Source organism: Homo sapiens, chromosome 3 (assembly GCF_000001405.40).
Source record: "Homo sapiens chromosome 3, GRCh38.p14 Primary Assembly".
NCBI classification, from domain to species: domain Eukaryota; kingdom Metazoa; phylum Chordata; class Mammalia; order Primates; family Hominidae; genus Homo; species Homo sapiens.
In genome coordinates, this window is record NC_000003.12 from 132,596,002 (window position 1) to 132,614,570 (window position 18,569).

The following is an 18,569-nucleotide window of genomic DNA, read 5'->3' on the forward strand; positions in this document are numbered from 1 at the left end:
AATAGCAAAGACATGGAATCAACCTAAATATTTGCCCATCAATGATAGACTGGACAAAGAAAATGTGGTACATATACAGCATGGAATACTATGTAGCCATAAAAAAGAATGAGATCATGTTCTTTGCAGGCACGTGGATGGAGCTGGAGACCATTATCCTTAGCAAACTAACAAAGGGACAGAAAGCTAAATACTGCATGTTCTCACTTATAAGTGGGAGCTAAGATGAGAACACATGGACACATGGAGGGAAACACACTGGGGCCTATCAAAGGGTAGAGGGTGGTAGAGAAAGAGGATCAGGAAAAATAACTAATGGGTACTAGGCTCAATACCTGGGTGATAAAATAATCTGCACAACAAACCCCCATGATACATGTTTACCTGTGTAACAAACTTGCATGTGTACCCCTGAACTTAAAAGTTTTTTTTTAAAAAAGAGAAAAATAGAAAAAATGGCATGGGTCTGAAATAATTTCTGCAGGTGGAGACTGAGCCTGGCCTTGCATGAAAAAATAGATAACTGCCATGCAAATTTGAGGAAAGCCAAGTTCAAATAGACCATGAGGGCCAAATCAGCATAAATTTCTCTTCTTTCTCTAACTTACTTGTGTGGAAATGTGGAAAAAATAAACAGCCTCCCAGACTGAAGGATTTTGAAGGTTCATATTCTAGCTTTGGGAAAAAAGGTAACAAGAAAGCAAGAGAGTTTAAAGCCATGGGAAAATACTCTGGGACAAGGATAGAGAAAGTACAGTGAAGCCAGGAAGACTCTAGTAGTTTAAATAAATATTAAATGATGTGGCATAAAAATGTTAAATTCTATTGCAAATACCTAATGATTACTTATAATTTAATCTTTGATAATTTAGTCTTCAAAAAGATATTTTCCTTGGTTAAAATCATATTTGCTTTCTTCCTTAGGCAAAATAACTTTAGAGAGTATTTCTCTAGATGCTACCTACAAGTGCTGCCTAGATGCCCTCAGGTGGATTCTCCTTCTGGTTCAGCAGTCAGTAGCTCAGCTGCAGGCACTTTCTTGTCCCCTTTGACTAAGTGGAAACTATGAAAGGTCTATAGTTTTTGAAAAAAGATGGATTTTCTCAAATTTGTAACCTAAACCACTTAAGAAGTTGAATTTAACTTCACAGATGGTTTTACAGGAAATAAAATATCAAGTGCTCACAAGGTTAAATTTCAGGAAAGCCTTCTTGGATACAAGATAAAGGCGGGGTGTAAAGTGAAAACAAAAGTAGCTGGAGTTAGGTCATTTGATTTTATACTCTGTACTCAAGACTGCTCCTCTCTGCCGACTACAACAGGTTGGTACTTTATTTCTTTTCTTATTCTGACTTGAATATTTTTTTAAGCCCAAAGATCTTGTATATTTACTTATATAGATGGAGTCTTGATGCATAAAAGTTTAAATGCTTACTTGTAAAAAAAAAAAAAAGGGTTACTTGAAAATAGCTGTACAGTTTAACCTTAAATGAAAATCTTAATATAGCAAGAAGAAAATACGATTTTAAATGCCATTACTTGTCGGTAAAACTTTGTTAAGGAGAAAATAGGTTTTATTATACCACTTTTTTTCACTTTCTTTTACAAGTACTGATTTTTTTTTTATTCTCATGGTAATTATAAAGACACTTAAAAGCGTGTCTATATATCTGCCGGAAGGATCATTTCTGCAAATAATTCCATTTCTACTCTTTTTTACTCACATTTTTAGTAAGATTAATTCTTACTTAAAAATTCCCTTCCTTAATATATTATAATATTTGGCCATATTATTTCTTATCATCAGGTTCAAGATTTTCTGATGAAAGAGAAAGGAAGAACAAGGTTCATACTGTGTTAATAATTAATGCATAAGAACATGAAGACCAGAGTAGTCTTCCAGATTGGAACTTTTTAAGTAACTTTAATGATAAAAAGAGTCATTTAAAAAAGTTGGCACCCGGTTTTTACATAATGAAAGCAATTCTTCTATGTGGTGTCTTTCTTCAGAGCCTTCTTTTCTTTGCTATATTCATTCAAAAAAAGTTAGCAAACATAAGAACATTTCTTTTGAAAATGTACTATAAGTTGGCACACTGTTTTAAAAATAATATTTTCATTATTGATTCTATAAGAATATTTGAGATACTTCAGAGGACAAAAAGAACCCAAGGAAAATAGAAAGGATAAGAAAAAGGAAAACAAAATTCAGCACTATAATAAAAACACTGAAAGTCATTATTTTATACATTCCAAAACTTACGAATTCTGTGCAAGCTTATCTTAATACTACGGGGTGCTAGTAGCCAACATAGTGCAATAACAATGTTGACATAGAAGATTTCTGGCATACTATCTATCCATTCTAGAGTAACAGCTTTATACCTGTTGGCAAAAGCTTTAATTTGACAAATATTTACTGAGAAGCTACTTTGTGCCAGGCACATTAACAAGATTTTATTTACAAACACAAATCAAATAGGTCATGCTTTGAGGAACTTAAAACCTAGAGGAACAAGGTAGTATGGGAAACGCATCCTTTCCACAGAATGGATCAGTTCTCTGAGGGGTATGTAGAGATTGCTAATACATCAGGAAAGTCTTCTGGGGAGGTCGCATCCGCGTTTATTGAGTAGGAATTGGCCCTTCCAGGGAAGGGCAGGAAATTGTATGGTAGATAAAGGAACAGAATGAGCAATGATGTAGACAGATGCTGCTGCATGGTGGGTGCCAGCCCACTGCTGAGAAATTAGTCCTATCACTGTCTCTAGTGTGGACACAGAGTAGGGAGAGGTGGCAGGAGCCATGGATGGCACCACATTATGAAGGGAGCCTTGGGTGTTATGCTAAGGAGCTTGGATTGTGGCTTTCAGGTGAAGAGATGTGTCTTCCAGATGAGGAACAAAACAGAGGAGAGGTAGATTGGCAATTTAGAGATCAAATACTCTGGTGGAAGTAAGAAAAACGTTTTTGAAAAGGAGGTATTGAGGAGGAGTAACAACAGGCTATCAGTTAGAAAGATACTGCTTGGCCAGGTGCAGTGGCTCATGCCTGTTACTCCAACTCTTTGCGAGGCCAAGGCAGGTAGATTGCTTGAGCCCAGGAGTTTGAGACCAGCCTTGGCAACCTGGCAAAACCCCGTCTCTATCAAAAATACAAAAAGTTATACAGACTCATAACCTGGTCAATAAATAAATAAATAAATGGATTAAAATTTAAAAATAGGCTGGGCTCGGTGGCTCACGCCTGTAATCCCAGCACTTTGGGAGGCCGAGGCAGGTGGATCACGAGGTCAGGAGTGCGAGAACAGTCTGGCCAACATAGTGAAACCCCATCTCTACTAAAAATAGAAAAAATTAGCCAGGCATGGTGGTGTGTACCTGTAATCCCAGCTACTTGGGAGGCTGAGGCAGGAGAATCGCATGAACCCGGGAGGCGGAGGTTGCAGTGAGCCGAGATTGTCCACTGCATTCCAGCCTGGGCAACAGAATGAGACTCCATCTCAAAAAAAAAATTAAATATTAAATATTAAAAAAGAAAGATATTGCAGTAGGCTAGGTGAGAAACATAATAGCTGAATTGTGCAAATGTGTGGAAGAGTGCAGATTAAGAGGAGAAGACAGATTCAAGACCTACTTGGAAGGCAGAATCAGAACTTGGGAACTGATTGGGAAGCAGGGATGAAGGTAAGAGAGAAGACAAGAATGAAGCAGGCTTACAGCTTAGATGATTAGAAGATAGTGGTGCTACTAAAAAACAGTATACAATAAGCAAGTAGTGACCAGTTTTGGAGGGAAGTTGGCTAAAGGAGATCTTGTTTTATAAAAGGCAACTAGTGAAATTTAGTGCAAATGCTGAGAGAATTTATTTAACTTATTTAAATTAAATTTATAAATAACATCAAAATAAAAAATAAATTTAATTTAAATAAACCAAGTAATTTGCTATTTTCGTTTTTATTCAATTTGTTGTAGATATACTTTTACGATTCACAAAATTATGTATGTAAAGATTATAACACTATTTATTCTTTTTAGTTAAAATCTAATTAAATTTTCATATTTTAAAAATCATTTTTACATAAAAGTCTTCACTTTTATTTAGGATTTAATGATTAAGAAAATTCTCCAGGGCATTATGTTTATTGTCCTGTTCAAATCCAAGCTCTTTCACACAGAATTGTACAAGCAAAGTTTGAGTAACTAATCTTGGGGTCATATTCCAATGTGGCTCCCATTAAAGCATTTCAAAGAGTGCTAGATTCAGGCTCACATATGTTACAGCAACAGGCTATACTCTAGGGAAAGAACAAAACAGCTTGATAAAAACTGTTTCCTTTTAAGCATATTTAGACAAATATCTATCCTGTATTCTCTTTGCCATCTAGATTGGAGCCATGGCTTTGGAACAGAACCAGTCAACAGATTATTATTATGAGGAAAATGAAATGAATGGCACTTATGACTACAGTCAATATGAACTGATCTGTATCAAAGAAGATGTCAGAGAATTTGCAAAAGTTTTCCTCCCTGTATTCCTCACAATAGTTTTCGTCATTGGACTTGCAGGCAATTCCATGGTAGTGGCAATTTATGCCTATTACAAGAAACAGAGAACCAAAACAGATGTGTACATCCTGAATTTGGCTGTAGCAGATTTACTCCTTCTATTCACTCTGCCTTTTTGGGCTGTTAATGCAGTTCATGGGTGGGTTTTAGGGAAAATAATGTGCAAAATAACTTCAGCCTTGTACACACTAAACTTTGTCTCTGGAATGCAGTTTCTGGCTTGTATCAGCATAGACAGATATGTGGCAGTAACTAAAGTCCCCAGCCAATCAGGAGTGGGAAAACCATGCTGGATCATCTGTTTCTGTGTCTGGATGGCTGCCATCTTGCTGAGCATACCCCAGCTGGTTTTTTATACAGTAAATGACAATGCTAGGTGCATTCCCATTTTCCCCCGCTACCTAGGAACATCAATGAAAGCATTGATTCAAATGCTAGAGATCTGCATTGGATTTGTAGTACCCTTTCTTATTATGGGGGTGTGCTACTTTATCACAGCAAGGACACTCATGAAGATGCCAAACATTAAAATATCTCGACCCCTAAAAGTTCTGCTCACAGTCGTTATAGTTTTCATTGTCACTCAACTGCCTTATAACATTGTCAAGTTCTGCCGAGCCATAGACATCATCTACTCCCTGATCACCAGCTGCAACATGAGCAAACGCATGGACATCGCCATCCAAGTCACAGAAAGCATCGCACTCTTTCACAGCTGCCTCAACCCAATCCTTTATGTTTTTATGGGAGCATCTTTCAAAAACTACGTTATGAAAGTGGCCAAGAAATATGGGTCCTGGAGAAGACAGAGACAAAGTGTGGAGGAGTTTCCTTTTGATTCTGAGGGTCCTACAGAGCCAACCAGTACTTTTAGCATTTAAAGGTAAAACTGCTCTGCCTTTTGCTTGGATACATATGAATGATGCTTTCCCCTCAAATAAAACATCTGCATTATTCTGAAACTCAAATCTCAGACGCCGTGGTTGCAACTTATAATAAAGAATGGGTTGGGGGAAGGGGGAGAAATAAAAGCCAAGAAGAGGAAACAAGATAATAAATGTACAAAACATGAAAATTAAAATGAACAATATAGGAAAATAATTGTAACAGGCATAAGTGAATAACACTCTGCTGTAACGAAGAAGAGCTTTGTGGTGATAATTTTGTATCTTGGTTGCAGTGGTGCTTATACAAATCTACACAAGTGATAAAATGACACAGAACTATATACACACATTGTACCAATTTCAATTTCCTGGTTTTGACATTATAGTATAATTATGTAAGATGGAACCATTGGGGAAAACTGGGTGAAGGGTACCCAGGACCACTCTGTACCATCTTTGTAACTTCCTGTGAATTTATAATAATTTCAAAATAAAACAAGTTAAAAAAAAACCCACTATGCTATAAGTTAGGCCATCTAAAACAGATTATTAAAGAGGTTCATGTTAAAAGGCATTTATAATTATTTTTAATTATCTAAGTTTTAATACAAGAACGATTTCCCTGCATAATTTTAGTACTTGAATAAGTATGCAGCAGAACTCCAACTATCTTTTTTCCTGTTTTTTTTAAATTTGTAAGTAATTTTATAAAATCCACCTCCTCCAAAAAAGCAATAAAAAAAAAACAAACTATAATAAGCTTTTCTGATTCTTTTCAAAACATTCCTGGTAAGTTCCTAAAGACATAATTTGCTTCTATGATGTCAACTTTCTTACTAATAACTGGTTATCATGACAAATGTTAGGTTTATCATATATAGTCTAGGTGTAATCCTCAGACTATCATTTTCATCTGGGTTCCAATTTCTTAACTTCCTAAAGAATTCATCTGTTTATACAAGTCTACCACTGCCGATTGACTAAAAAATACATTATCCCATGCATAAAATGTCCTATTTTCATTTAAACACTTTATTTTTGAGTAATAAAAATATGTACCACAATAAATTATTGTTAATTAACATGTACAGCTTATCTTTTTTAAAAAAATTTGCTGTAAATTATTATAATCCATGTAATATGCTCCTACTAAAATTAAATTTTGCTAGCAATTACATTGGTCAAAAATAGTATGCACTAATGAATTTTATCTCTAAAACTACAAAAAATGACATGTTTTCTGCTCTTAAACATCACCTAACCAACATATGTTATTTTAAAATTACTTTTTCTTTCAACCACTATTTCTAAGTTTGAAAATGCTTTCACATGCAGAATTAATTAATTATTTTTTCATTTTTTTGAGACAGAGTTTCGCTCTTGTTGCCCAGGGTGAAGTACAGTGGTGCCATCTCAGCGCATGTCAACTTCCGCCACCCGGGGTCAAGCAAATCTCCTGCCTCAGCCTCCTGAGTAGTTGGGATTACAGGTGCCTGTCACCACACCTGGCTAATTTTTGTATTTTTAGTAGAGACAGGGCTTCACCATGTTGGCCAGGTTGGTCTTGAACTCCTGGCCTCAGGTGATCCACCTGCCTCAGCCTCCCAAAGTGCTGGGATTACAGGTGTTAGCCACCGCACCTGGCCTACACATGCAGAATTTAAAGAATTATGATCATGAAACTGATCACTATGTATCATAGCAATATTCTAGCATAGCATCTGGAACAAAGGATCAGTGTGTTAGGTGAAAAAATTAGGCTGAACACTCACCACTGCTCCACCATTTTTTGCCGTTAATTACATAGCTATCTTCATCTCGTTGGATGCTGCATTCAATATTCGTGGCATCACTTGAAGCTACATCAGGTTCTATAAATAAACAAAAGCTGAATTTACAGGCAGGCAGATATCATCAGTAGACTTAGATAAGGATATGAAAACTTTAAAAACAAAGACATCTTTATCTTTTTCAATGTCCTTTCACTCCCCATTCCACCCTGCTTTTCCCATAACCTACACACAGTATTCAATAAACGTGCACTGAAAGAATGAGTGAATGAATGAAGTATACTGAACATTGGGGATCAGTATTTTGAACTGTATTTTTGGCTTCCTCACTGATATATGATTTGGGATACAACCCAGTCCTTTCTCCAATCAGCAAATGTAGATAAAAGTATTGTTTTCTACTTCTCACAATGGAGATATGTACTAAATATTGATTGGCAAGACAGATTCCCCCCATATAGTTTACTGTCTTAAGCAATTTCTAATGTGCCTTGCAAATTCCATCAGGAATGCCTTCACTGATTTATATACTTTGCATTCTTTAAAGCCTGTTCAACACTTAAGGTCTTCAGAAAGTTCTCCATGGGACACCCTTAGACAACTGCTTTATTGCATGGCACTTCAGAACTGTCTAGCTCTCAATCATAGCAATCTGCACTTGCTAATATGACACCCCTTTAAATGAGTCCTTCAGATATCCCATGTGTTCTGTTTCTAAAACTTAAGACTTATTTTTTTTCTTTTTTAGAAAGAGGGCTGTGTATTCTACTTATTTTGTAAACCCCACCTAGTGCTTTGTAGACAATACATCCTACTGTAGGTATTCAATAAATGCCTATTACTGATTTAAACGGAGATCAGTTCTGCTATTATAGTAGTCCCCTGTTATCTGTAGTTTTGCTGTCTGAGGTTTCAGTTATGAGGCCAACTGCATTCCAAAAATATTAAGTGAAAAATTCCAGAAGTAAACAATTTGTAATTTTTAAATAGTGTACCATTCTGAGTATTGTTATAATTGTTCTATTTTATTATTAGTTATTATTAATGTCTTACTATGCCTAATTTAGAGATTAAACTGTATCATAGGTACATATGTATAAGAAAAAACATAGTCTAAATAGCATTCAGGACTATCCCAGTTTTCAGACACCCACTGGGAGTCTTAGAACGTATCCCCTTCAGATAAAAGAGGAGTACTGTATAAATGTATGCTATGTTATACAAAACAATAAAATCTGGCCATTATTGAAAGCACTTAAAAATTATGGACAAGCAAAATTTGGTATAATTCTAAACTAAATCACAAAACAATGATTTTTTTCTATTGAAGAGTTCTTAATGCTTTCTATGTACAAATGATATTAAATCTGTTTTTATTGACATGTTCCTTTATTTTCCCACATGATTATAATTTGAGCCATATGTCCAGTACTGGTGAAATTTCTATTTTTCTGGGTTTATGGAAGAGTTGAATATTTTATAAGTATCAATATAAAATTATCACAAAGATAGATATTTCATACATAAGGGCAAAGAAGATCTTAAATATTCATATATAGCAATTTTAGTAATGACATCAAAAAATTGTGAAACTAAGTTTACTCTGCTACTAATGCTATAGCAGGCTACTAGAGAACATCATCTGATATTCTAACAAAGGAGAGGATCATATTTTTCTGAACATTTGAAAATGCCAAAATTTAATAACAGGCTCAAAATAAACATACTCACATTTTTGGCCAATGGCAAATTTGACTGAAACACAGAACCACATCCTGTATTTCTTCAGCTCATCCATAATAACTCCGGGACGACTGACTACACAAGGAGAGAATGGTGATTGGCATTTACCTGTCATACAGAAGCAAGAGGTAATGTTCCCTTGAAGAAGAGGCTCAAGCCACTGTTTCTTCTGTTCCTCACTTCCATACAGGTGCAGAACCTCCATATTCCCTGTGTCTACACATAAAGAAGGAGTATTTGTTTTGCATTTGAAAATTTATCAGTATGAAATCCACAACTTTATGTAGAGAGTATAGAAATGCATCTTTTTAAAGCAAATGTTTGCTAACAAAAATATTTTGAAATATATAGTAAATATAATTTATACTGACAGCATGTCATAAATATTTACAAGTACAGGGCATTTGGTGCATATTTATTCAACTTGTTCTGAATCACAGACTCTTCTTCAGTTCATCCCAATGAAGAATGGCACTAATGACATCTAACTCAATTAGAACTGAAGGAAAAAATTTACTGGCCTAAACCTTGCCTGCTGTATTGCAAATATGCCCTGCTAGAAGTGATTGCAATGCTCCCGGAGAACAATTAACATTGCATGTCCTACTGAGACTCCAGCCCTTAATTTTATCTGCTGTTCCTCAAACACACCCTGTGCTTTCTAATTTCCACATATATGCTTGGGCCAGGCTTTTTCTCAAGTGAAATTCTCCCTGTCCTTCACAAGTAAATTCCTGCGTATGAGCCACCTCCTCTGCAAAGAATCTCTGATTACCCAGTCAGTGACACCTCCTTCCTCTGAACTTACATAACAATTATTTCTATTTACCTCTAACATTGCTCTTACTTTTATGTACCCCATACTACCTAGAAAATACTTGATAATTCTCAAGGATGCTAAAGACAGAATCCCTGCCCTGGAAAGAAAATGGCAGTAGATAACTTCAAAGACCCTCTCTGACCCTTGGAGGGTATTGTTTATAGTACATGATGCACTGCAGTATTGCCCTTGGCTAACAAAGAATTCTTCATGACTGCCATGGAGTAAAATTTTCTAGATGGCTTCCTCTGATTTTCCATTCCTGTCAAATTTCTTAAAATACTGTCTAAAACCTTTCCCTTGAGTGTTGATTATTCAGAAGATTTTGAGAAAACAATTTTCATATCAACATTTACAATGACTTTAAGGTTAGTTACTGAAATGCTTATGAAAATTGAGTTGTGTAAGTTAAACTTCTCAAGATGTCTGCACTCTGTTCAGGCACTCCTAACAGAGCCAACATTACATCAACATTAACAAAATTCCTTGTAGATTAACACAGCTTAACATTCTTTTTGACTGAGGGAGAAAATAAGTCCTGAGTTATAATTCATGAAGCTCATTGTTTGTTTTCTTTGCCTGTTTTAAATTCACTGTTACTTGTTATAGTACAAATAAGGTAAATATTGAATTCAAAATTTCCAAAAATTATCAGTTTCTTCCGAAAAGCTCACAAAGTTATCATTTACAGGTTGGAAAAAAAAACTTGGATAAACTACACCAACAAGAAAAATGATTTCCCATTAAAAAATATCAGACCAGCTCTCTAGATTCCTCCTCTCTGGGCAGGGCATCTCTAAAAGAAAGGCAGTAGCCCCAGTCAGGGGCTTATAGACGAAACTCCCATCTCCCTGGGACAGAGGACCTGCGGGAAGGGGTGGCTGTGGGCGCGGCTTCAGCAGACTTCAACATTCCTGCCTGCCGGCACTGAAGGGAGCAGCGGATCTCCCAGCACAGTGCTTGAGCTCTGCTAAGGGACAGACTGCCTCCTCAAGTGGGTCCCTGACCCCCGTGCCTTCTGACAGGGAGACACCTCCCAACAGGGGTCAACATACACCTCAAACAGGACAGCTCTGGATGGTGTGTGGTGGGTGCACCTCAGGGATGAAACTTCCAGAGGAAGGAACAGGCAGCAATCTTTGCTGTTCTGCAGCCTCCACTTGTGATATCCGGGCAAACAGGGTTGGGAGTGGACCTCCAGCAAACTCCAGCAGACCTGCAGCAGAGGGGCCGGACTCAGAAGGAAAACTAACAAACAGGAATAGCATGAACAACAGAAAGGACACCTACACAAAAACTCCATCTGAAGGTCACCAACATCAAAGACCAAAGGTAGAAAAATCCACGAAGATGAGGAAAAACCAGTGCAAAAAGGCTGAAAATTCCAAAAACCAGAATGCCTCTTCTCTCCAAAGGATCACAACCCCTCGCCAGCAAGGGAACAAAACTGGATGGAGAATGAGTTTGACGAATTGACAGAAGTAGGCTTCAGAAGGTGAGTAATAACAAACTCCTCTGAGCTAAAGAAGCATGTTCTAACCCAATGCAAGGAACCTAAGAACCTTGACAAAAGGTTAGAGGAATTGCTAACTAGAATAACCAGTTTAGAGAAGACCATAAATGACCTGATAGAGCTGCAAAACACAGCACGAGAACTTCGTGAAGTATACACAAGTATCAATAGCTGAATCAATCAAGTGAAAGAAAGGATATCAGAGACTGAAGATCAACTTAATGAAATAAAGCATGAAGACAAGATTAGAGAAAAAAGAATGAAAAGGAATGAACAAAGCCTCCAAAAAATATGGGATGATGTGAAAAGACCAAACCTAGGTTTGACTGGTGTACCTGAAAATGATGGGGAGAATGGAACCAAGTTGGAAAACACTCCTCAGGATATTATCCAGGAGAACTTCCCCAACCTAGAAAGAGAGGCCAACATTCAAATTCAGGAAATAAGGAGAACACCACAAAGATACTCCTCAAGAAGAGCAACCCCAAGACACATAATCGTCAGATTCACCAAGGTTGAAATGAAAGAAAAAATGTGAGGGGCAGCCAGAGAGGTCAGGTTACCCACAAAAGGAAGCCCATCAGACTAACAGTAGATTTCTCTGCAGAAACCCTACAAACCAGAAGAGAGTGGGGGCCAATATTCAACATTCTTAAAGAAAAGAAATTTCCAACCCAGAATTTCATATCCAGCCAAACTAAGCTTCATAAGCGAAGGAAAAATAAAATCCTTTACAGACAAACAAATGCTGGGAGACATTTTGTCACCACCAGGCCTGTCTTACAACAGCTCCTGAAGGAGGCACTAAACATGCAAAGCAAAAACTGGTACTAGCCACTGCAAAAACATACCAAATTGTAAAGACCATCGACACTATAAAGAAACTGCATCAACTAACAGGCAAAATAACCAGCTAGCATCATAATGACAGGATCAAATTCACATATAACAATATTAACCTTAAATGTAAATGGGTTAAATGCCCCAATTTAAAGACACACACTGGCAAATTGGATAAACAGTCAAGACCCATTGGTGTGCTGTATTCAGGAGACCCATCTCACGTGCACAGACACACATAGGCTCAAAATAAAGGGATGGAGGAAGATTTACCAAGAAAATGGAAAGCAAAACAAAAACAAACAAACAAAAAAGCAGGGGTTGCAATCCTAGTTTCTAATAAAACAGACTTTAAACCAACAAAGATAAAAAAAAGACAAAGAAGGACATTACATAATGGTAAAGGGATCAATGCAACAAGAAGAGCTAACTATCCTAAATATATATGCACCCAAAACAGGAGCACCTAGATTCATAAAGCAAATTCTTAGAGACTACAAAGAGACTTAGACTCCCACACAATAATAGTGGGAGACTTTAACACCCCATTGTCAATATCAGACAGGTCGACGAGACAGAAAATTAACAAGGATATTCAGGACTTGAACTCAGCTCTGGACCAAGCAGACCTAGTAGTCATCTACAGACTCTCCACCCCAAACTGACAGAATATACATCCTTCTCAGCACCACATTGCACTTATTCTAAAATTGACCACATAATTGGATGTAAAACACTCCTCAGAAAATGCAAAAGAATTGAAATCATAACAAAAAGACTCTCAGACCACAGTGCAATCAAATTAGAACTCAGGATTAAGAAACTCACTCAAAACCGCACATCTATATGATAACTGAACAACCTGCTCCTGAATGACTACTGGGTAAATAATGAAATTAAGGCAGAAATAAATAAGTTATTTGAAACCAATAAGAACAAAGACACAATGTACCAGAATCTCTGGGACACAACTAAAGCAGTATTTAGAGGGAAATTTTTAGCACTAAATGCCCACAGGAGAAAGCGGGAAAGATGTAAAATTGACACGCTAACATCACAATTAAAAGAACTAGAGAAGCAAGCCAAACAAATTCAAAAGCTAGCAGAAGACAAGAAATAACCAAGATCAGAGCAGAACTGAAGGAGATAGGGACAAGAAAAACCCTTCAAAAAATAAATGAATCCAGGAGCTGTTTTTTTGAAAAGGTTAACTAAATACACCACTAGCCAGACTAATAAAGAAAAGAGAAGAATCAAATAGACACAATAAAAAATGATAAAGGGGATATCAACACTGATCCCACAGAAATACAAACTACCATCAGAGAATACTATAAACACCCTATGCAAATAAACTAGAAAATCTAGAAGAAATGGATAAACTCCTGGACACATATACCCTCCCAAGATTAAACCAAAAAGAAGTCAAATCCCTGAATAGACCAATAACAAGGTCTGAAACTGAGGCAGTAATTAATAGCCCACCAACCCAAAAAAGCCCAGGACCAGATGGTTTCACAGTCGAATTCTACCAGAGGTACAAAGAGGAGCTGGTACCCTTCCTTCTGAAACTATTCCAAATAGAAAAAGAGGGACTCCTTCCTAACTCGTTTTATGAGGCCAGCATCATCCTGATACCAAAACCTGGTGGAGACACAACAAAAAAAGAAAATTTCAGGCCAATATACCTGATGAACATCGAAGTGAAAATCCTCAATAAAATACTGGCAAACCAAATCCAGCAACACATCAAAAAGCTTATCCACCACAATCAAGTTGGCTTCATCCCTGGGATGCAAGGCTGGTTCAACATATGCAAACCAATCGATGTAATCCATCACATAAACAGAACCAATGACAAAAACCACATGATTATCTCAATAGATGCAGAAAAGGCCTCTGATAAAATTAAACACCCCTTCATGCAAAAACTCAATAAACTCGGTATTGATAGAACGTATCTCAAAATAATAAGAGCTATTTATGACAAACCCACAGCCAATATCATACTGAATGGACCAAAGCTGGAAGCACTCCCTTTGAAACTGGGACACATTCAAAGCAGTATGTAGAGGGAAATTTATAGCACTAAATGCCCACAAGAGAAAGCAGGAAAGATCTAAAATTGACACCCTAACATCACAATTAAAAGAACTAGAGAAGAGCAAACACATTCAAAAGCTAGCAGAAGGCAAGAAATAACTAAGATCAGAGCAGAACTGAAGGAAATACAGACACAAAAAACCCTTCAAAAAACCAACGAATCCAGGAGCTGGTTTTTTGAAAAGATCAACAAAATTGATAGACCGCTAGCAAGATTAATAAAGAAGAAAAGAGAGAAGAATCAAATAGAAGCAATAAAAAATGACAAAGGGGATATCACCACCGATCCCACAGAAATACAAACTACCATCAGAGAATACTATGAACACCTCTATGCAAATAAACTAGAAAATCTAGAAGAAATGGATAAATTCCTAGACACATACACCCTCCCAAGACTAAACCAGGAAGAAGTTGAATCTCTGAATAGACCAATAACAGGCTCTGAAATTGAGGCAATAATTAATAACCTACCAACCAAAAAAAGTCCAGGACCAGATGGATTCACAGCTGAATTCTACCAGAGGTAGAAGAAGGAGCTGGTACCATTCCTTCTGAAACTATTCCTATTCATGGAAAAAGAGGGAATCCTCCCTAACTCATTTTATGAGGCCAGCATCATCCTGATACCAAAGCCTGGCAGAGACACAATAAAAAAAGAGAATTTTAGACCAATATCCTTGATTAACATTGATGCAAAAATCCTCAATAAAATACTGGCAAACGGAATCCAGCAGCACATCAAAAAGCTTATCCACCATGATCAAGTGGGCTTCATCCCTGGGATGCAAGGCTGGTTCAACATACGCAAATCAGTAAACGTAATCCAGCATATAAACAGAACCAAAAACAAAAACCACATTATTATCTCAAGAGATGCAGAAAAGGCTTTAGACAAAATTCAACAACGCTTCATGCTAAAAACTCTCAATAAATTAGGTATCAATGGGACGTATCTCAAAATAATAAGAGCTATCTATGACAAATCCACAGCCAACATCAAACTGAATGGACAAAAACTGGAAGCATCCCCCTTGAAAACTGGCACAAGATAGGGATGCCCTCTCTCACCACTCCTATTCAACACAGTGTTGGAAGTTCTGGCCAGGGCAATCAAGCAGGAGAAGGAAATAAAGGGCATTCAATTAGGAAAAGAGGAAGTCAAATTGTTCCTGTTTGCAGATGACATGAGTATATATCTAGAAAACCCCATCGTCTCAGCCCAAAATCTCCTTAAGCTGATAAGCCGCTTCAGCAAAGTCTCAGGATACAAAATCAATGTGCAAAAATCACAAGCATTCATATACACCAATAACAGAGAAACAGAGAGCCAAATCATCAGTGAACTCCCATTCACAATTGCTTCAAAGAGAATAAAATACCTAGGAATCCAACTTACAAGGGATGTGAAGGACCTCTTCAAGGAGAACTACAAACCACTGCTCAATGAAATAAAAGAGGATACAAAGAAATGGAAGAACATTCCATGCTCTTGGGTAGGAAGAATCAATATAGTGAAAATGGCCATACAGCCCAAGGTAATTTATAGATTCAATGCCATCCCCATCAAGCTACCAATGACTTTCTTCACAGAATTGGAAAAAACTACTTTAAAGTTCAAATGGAACCAAAAAAGAGCCTGCATCGCCAAGTCAATCCTAAGCCAAAAGAACAAAGCTGGAGGCATCACGCTACCTGACTTCAAACTACACTACAAGGCTACAGTAACCAAAACAGCATGGTACTGGTACTAAAACAGAGATACAGACCAATGGAACAGAACAGAGCCCTCAGAAATAATGCCGCATATCTACAACTATCTGATCTTTGATAAACCTGACAAAAACAAGAAATGGGGAAAGGATTCCCTATTTAATAAATGGTGCTGGGAAAACTGGCTAGCCATATGTAGAAAGCTGAAACTGGATCCCTTCTTTACACCTTATACAAAAATTAATTCAAGATGGATTAAAGACTTACATGTTAGACCTAAAACCATAAAAACCCTAGAAGAAAACCTAGGCAATACCATTCAGGACATAGGTATGGGCAAGGACTTCATGTCTAAAACATCAAAAGCAATGGCAACAAAAGACAAAATTGACAAATGGGATCTAATTAAACTAAAGAGCTTCTGCACAGCAAAAGAAACTACCATCAGAGTGAACAGGCAACCTACAGAATGGGAGAAAATTATTGCAACCTACTCATCTGACAAAGGGCTAATATCCAGAATCTACAATGAACTCAAACAAATTTACAAGAAAAAAACAAACAACCCCATCAACAAGTGGGTGAACGATATGAACAGACACTTCTCAAAAGAAGACATTTATGCAGCCAAAAAACACATGAAAAAGCACTCATCATCACTGGCTATCAGAGAAATGCAAATCAAAACCACAATGAGATACCATCTCACACCAGTTAGAATGGCAATCATTAAAAAGTCAGGAAACAACAGGTGCTGGAGAGGATGTGGAGAAATAGGAACACTTTTACACTGTTGGTGGGACTGTAAACTAGTTCAACCATTGTGGAAGTCAGTATGGCGATTCCTCAGGGATCTAGAACTAGAAATTCCATTTGACCCAGCCATCCCATTACTGGGTATATACCCAAAGGATTATAAATCATGCTGCTATAAAGGCACATGCACACGTATGTTTATTGTGGCACTATTCACAACAGCAAAGACTTGGAACCAACCCAAATGTCCAACAATGATAGACTGGATTAAGAAAATGTGGCGCATATACACCATGGAATACTATGCAGCCATAAAAAATAATGAGTTCATGTCCTTTGTAGGGACATGGATAAAGCTGGAAACCATCATTCTCAGCAAACTATCGCAAGGACAAAAAACCAAACACTGCATGTTCTCACTCATAGGTGGGAATTGAACAATGAGAACACATGGACACAGGAAGGGGAACATCACACTCTGGGGACTGTTGTGGGGTGGGGGAAGGGGGGAGGGATAGCATTAGGAGAGATACCTAATGCTAAATGACGAGTTAATGGGTGCAGCACACCAACATGGCACATGTATACATATGTAATAAACCTGCACGTTGTAGACATGTACCCTAAAACTTTAAGTATAATAATAATAAAAATAACTAAATAAAAATAATATTCTAAAACAAAACAAACAAACAAAAAAAGAAAACCAGCACAAGACAAAGATGCCCTCTCTCACCACTCCTATTCAACATAGTATTGGAAGTTCTGGCCAGGGCAATCAGGCAACAGAAAGAAATGAAGGGTATTCAGATAGGAAGAGAGGAAGTCAAATTGTCACTGTTTGCAGATGACATGATAGTATATTTAGAAAACCCCATCATTGGCCGGGTGCAGTGGCTCACGCCTGTAATCCCAGCACTTTGGGATGCCAAGGTGGATGGATCACCTGAGGTCAGGAGCTTGAGACCAGCCTGGTCAGCATGGTGAAACCACATCTCTACTAAAAGTACAAAAATTAGTCGGGCATGGTGGCAGGCTCCTGTGATCCCAGCTACTCAGTAGGCTGAGGCAGGAGAATTGCTTGGGCCTGGGAGGCGGAGGTTGCAGTGAGCCAAGATTGCACCACTGCTCTCCAGCTTGGGCGAGACGAGTGAGACTCCATCTCAAAAAAGAAAGAAAAAAGAAAACCCCATCATCTCAGCCCAAAATCTCCTTAAGCTGATAAGCAACTTCAGCAAAGTCTCAGGATACAAAATCAATGTGCAAAAATCACAAGCATTCCTATACACCAATAATAGACAAACAGAGAGCCAAATCTTGAGTGAACTCCCATTCACAATTGCTACAAAGAGAATAAAATACCTAAGAATCCAACTTATAAGGGATGTGAAGGACCTCTTCAAGGAGAACTACAAACCACTGCTCAAGGAAATAAGACAGGACACAACCAAATGGAAAAACATTCCATGCTCATGGATAGGAAGAATCAATATCATGAAAATGGCCATACTGCCCAAAGTAATTTATAGATTCAATGCCATCCCCATCAAGCTACCATTGACTTTCTTCACAGAATTAGAAAAAAAGTACTTTAAATTTCATATGGAACCAGAAAAGAGCCCATATAGTCAAGACAATCCTAAGCAAAAAGAACAAAGCTGGAGGCATCATGCTACCTGACTTCAAACTATACTACGAGGCTACAGTAACAAAAACAGCATGGTACTGGTACCGAAATAGATATATAGACCAATGGAACAGAACAGAGGCCTCAGAAATAACGCCACACATCTACAACCATCTGATCTTGGACAAACCTGACACAAACAAGCAATG

General features: G+C 37.4%; 2 protein-coding genes and 1 long non-coding RNA gene across 7 annotated transcripts in view; 1 reads left to right on the forward strand and 2 right to left on the reverse strand.

The window, feature by feature from the left end:
* NPHP3-ACAD11 (NPHP3-ACAD11 readthrough (NMD candidate)) overlaps positions 1-18,569 on the reverse strand; it is a 164,322-nt gene that overhangs the window by 37,864 nt on the left and 107,889 nt on the right. Inside the window, exons 38-39 of the long non-coding RNA NR_037804.1 lie at positions 9,097-9,204; positions 7,228-7,326 (exon numbers count right to left, since the gene is read on the reverse strand). This is a non-coding gene — a long non-coding RNA (NPHP3-ACAD11 readthrough (NMD candidate)). The remainder of the gene's footprint in view (positions 1-7,227; positions 7,327-9,096; positions 9,205-18,569) is intronic.
* ACAD11 (acyl-CoA dehydrogenase family member 11) overlaps positions 1-18,569 on the reverse strand; it is a 101,669-nt gene that overhangs the window by 37,861 nt on the left and 45,239 nt on the right. For all 4 annotated transcript variants that reach the window (NR_132428.2, NR_132427.2, NR_132426.2 and 1 more), the window contains 2 exons: positions 9,097-9,204; positions 7,228-7,326 (listed from right to left, as the gene is read on the reverse strand). Coding sequence is in view for 1 of the 4 variants with exons in the window: in NM_032169.5 (NP_115545.3) it covers positions 7,228-7,326; positions 9,097-9,204 (207 nt within the window). In the remaining 3 variants the exon portion in view is untranslated. The remainder of the gene's footprint in view (positions 1-7,227; positions 7,327-9,096; positions 9,205-18,569) is intronic.
* Positions 1,269-6,643, forward strand: ACKR4 (atypical chemokine receptor 4). 2 transcript variants are annotated; one of them, NM_016557.4, is made up of 2 exons: positions 1,269-1,322; positions 4,388-6,643. In NM_016557.4, the coding sequence occupies exon 2, from the start codon at positions 4,397-4,399 to the stop codon at positions 5,447-5,449; it is 1,053 nt and encodes a 350-aa protein (NP_057641.1). In that variant the 5' UTR covers positions 1,269-1,322; positions 4,388-4,396; the 3' UTR covers positions 5,450-6,643. The 2 variants fall into 2 exon arrangements, with proteins under 2 accessions (NP_057641.1, NP_848540.1); NM_178445.2 differs by lacking the exon at positions 1,269-1,322 and having other exon boundaries at positions 4,136-6,643.

Excerpts from the sequence above, each read along its gene's own strand:
- ACKR4 (NM_016557.4), top strand. The coding sequence starts at position 4,397 with ATGGCTTTGGAACAGAACCAGTCAACAGATTATTATTATGAGGAAAAT.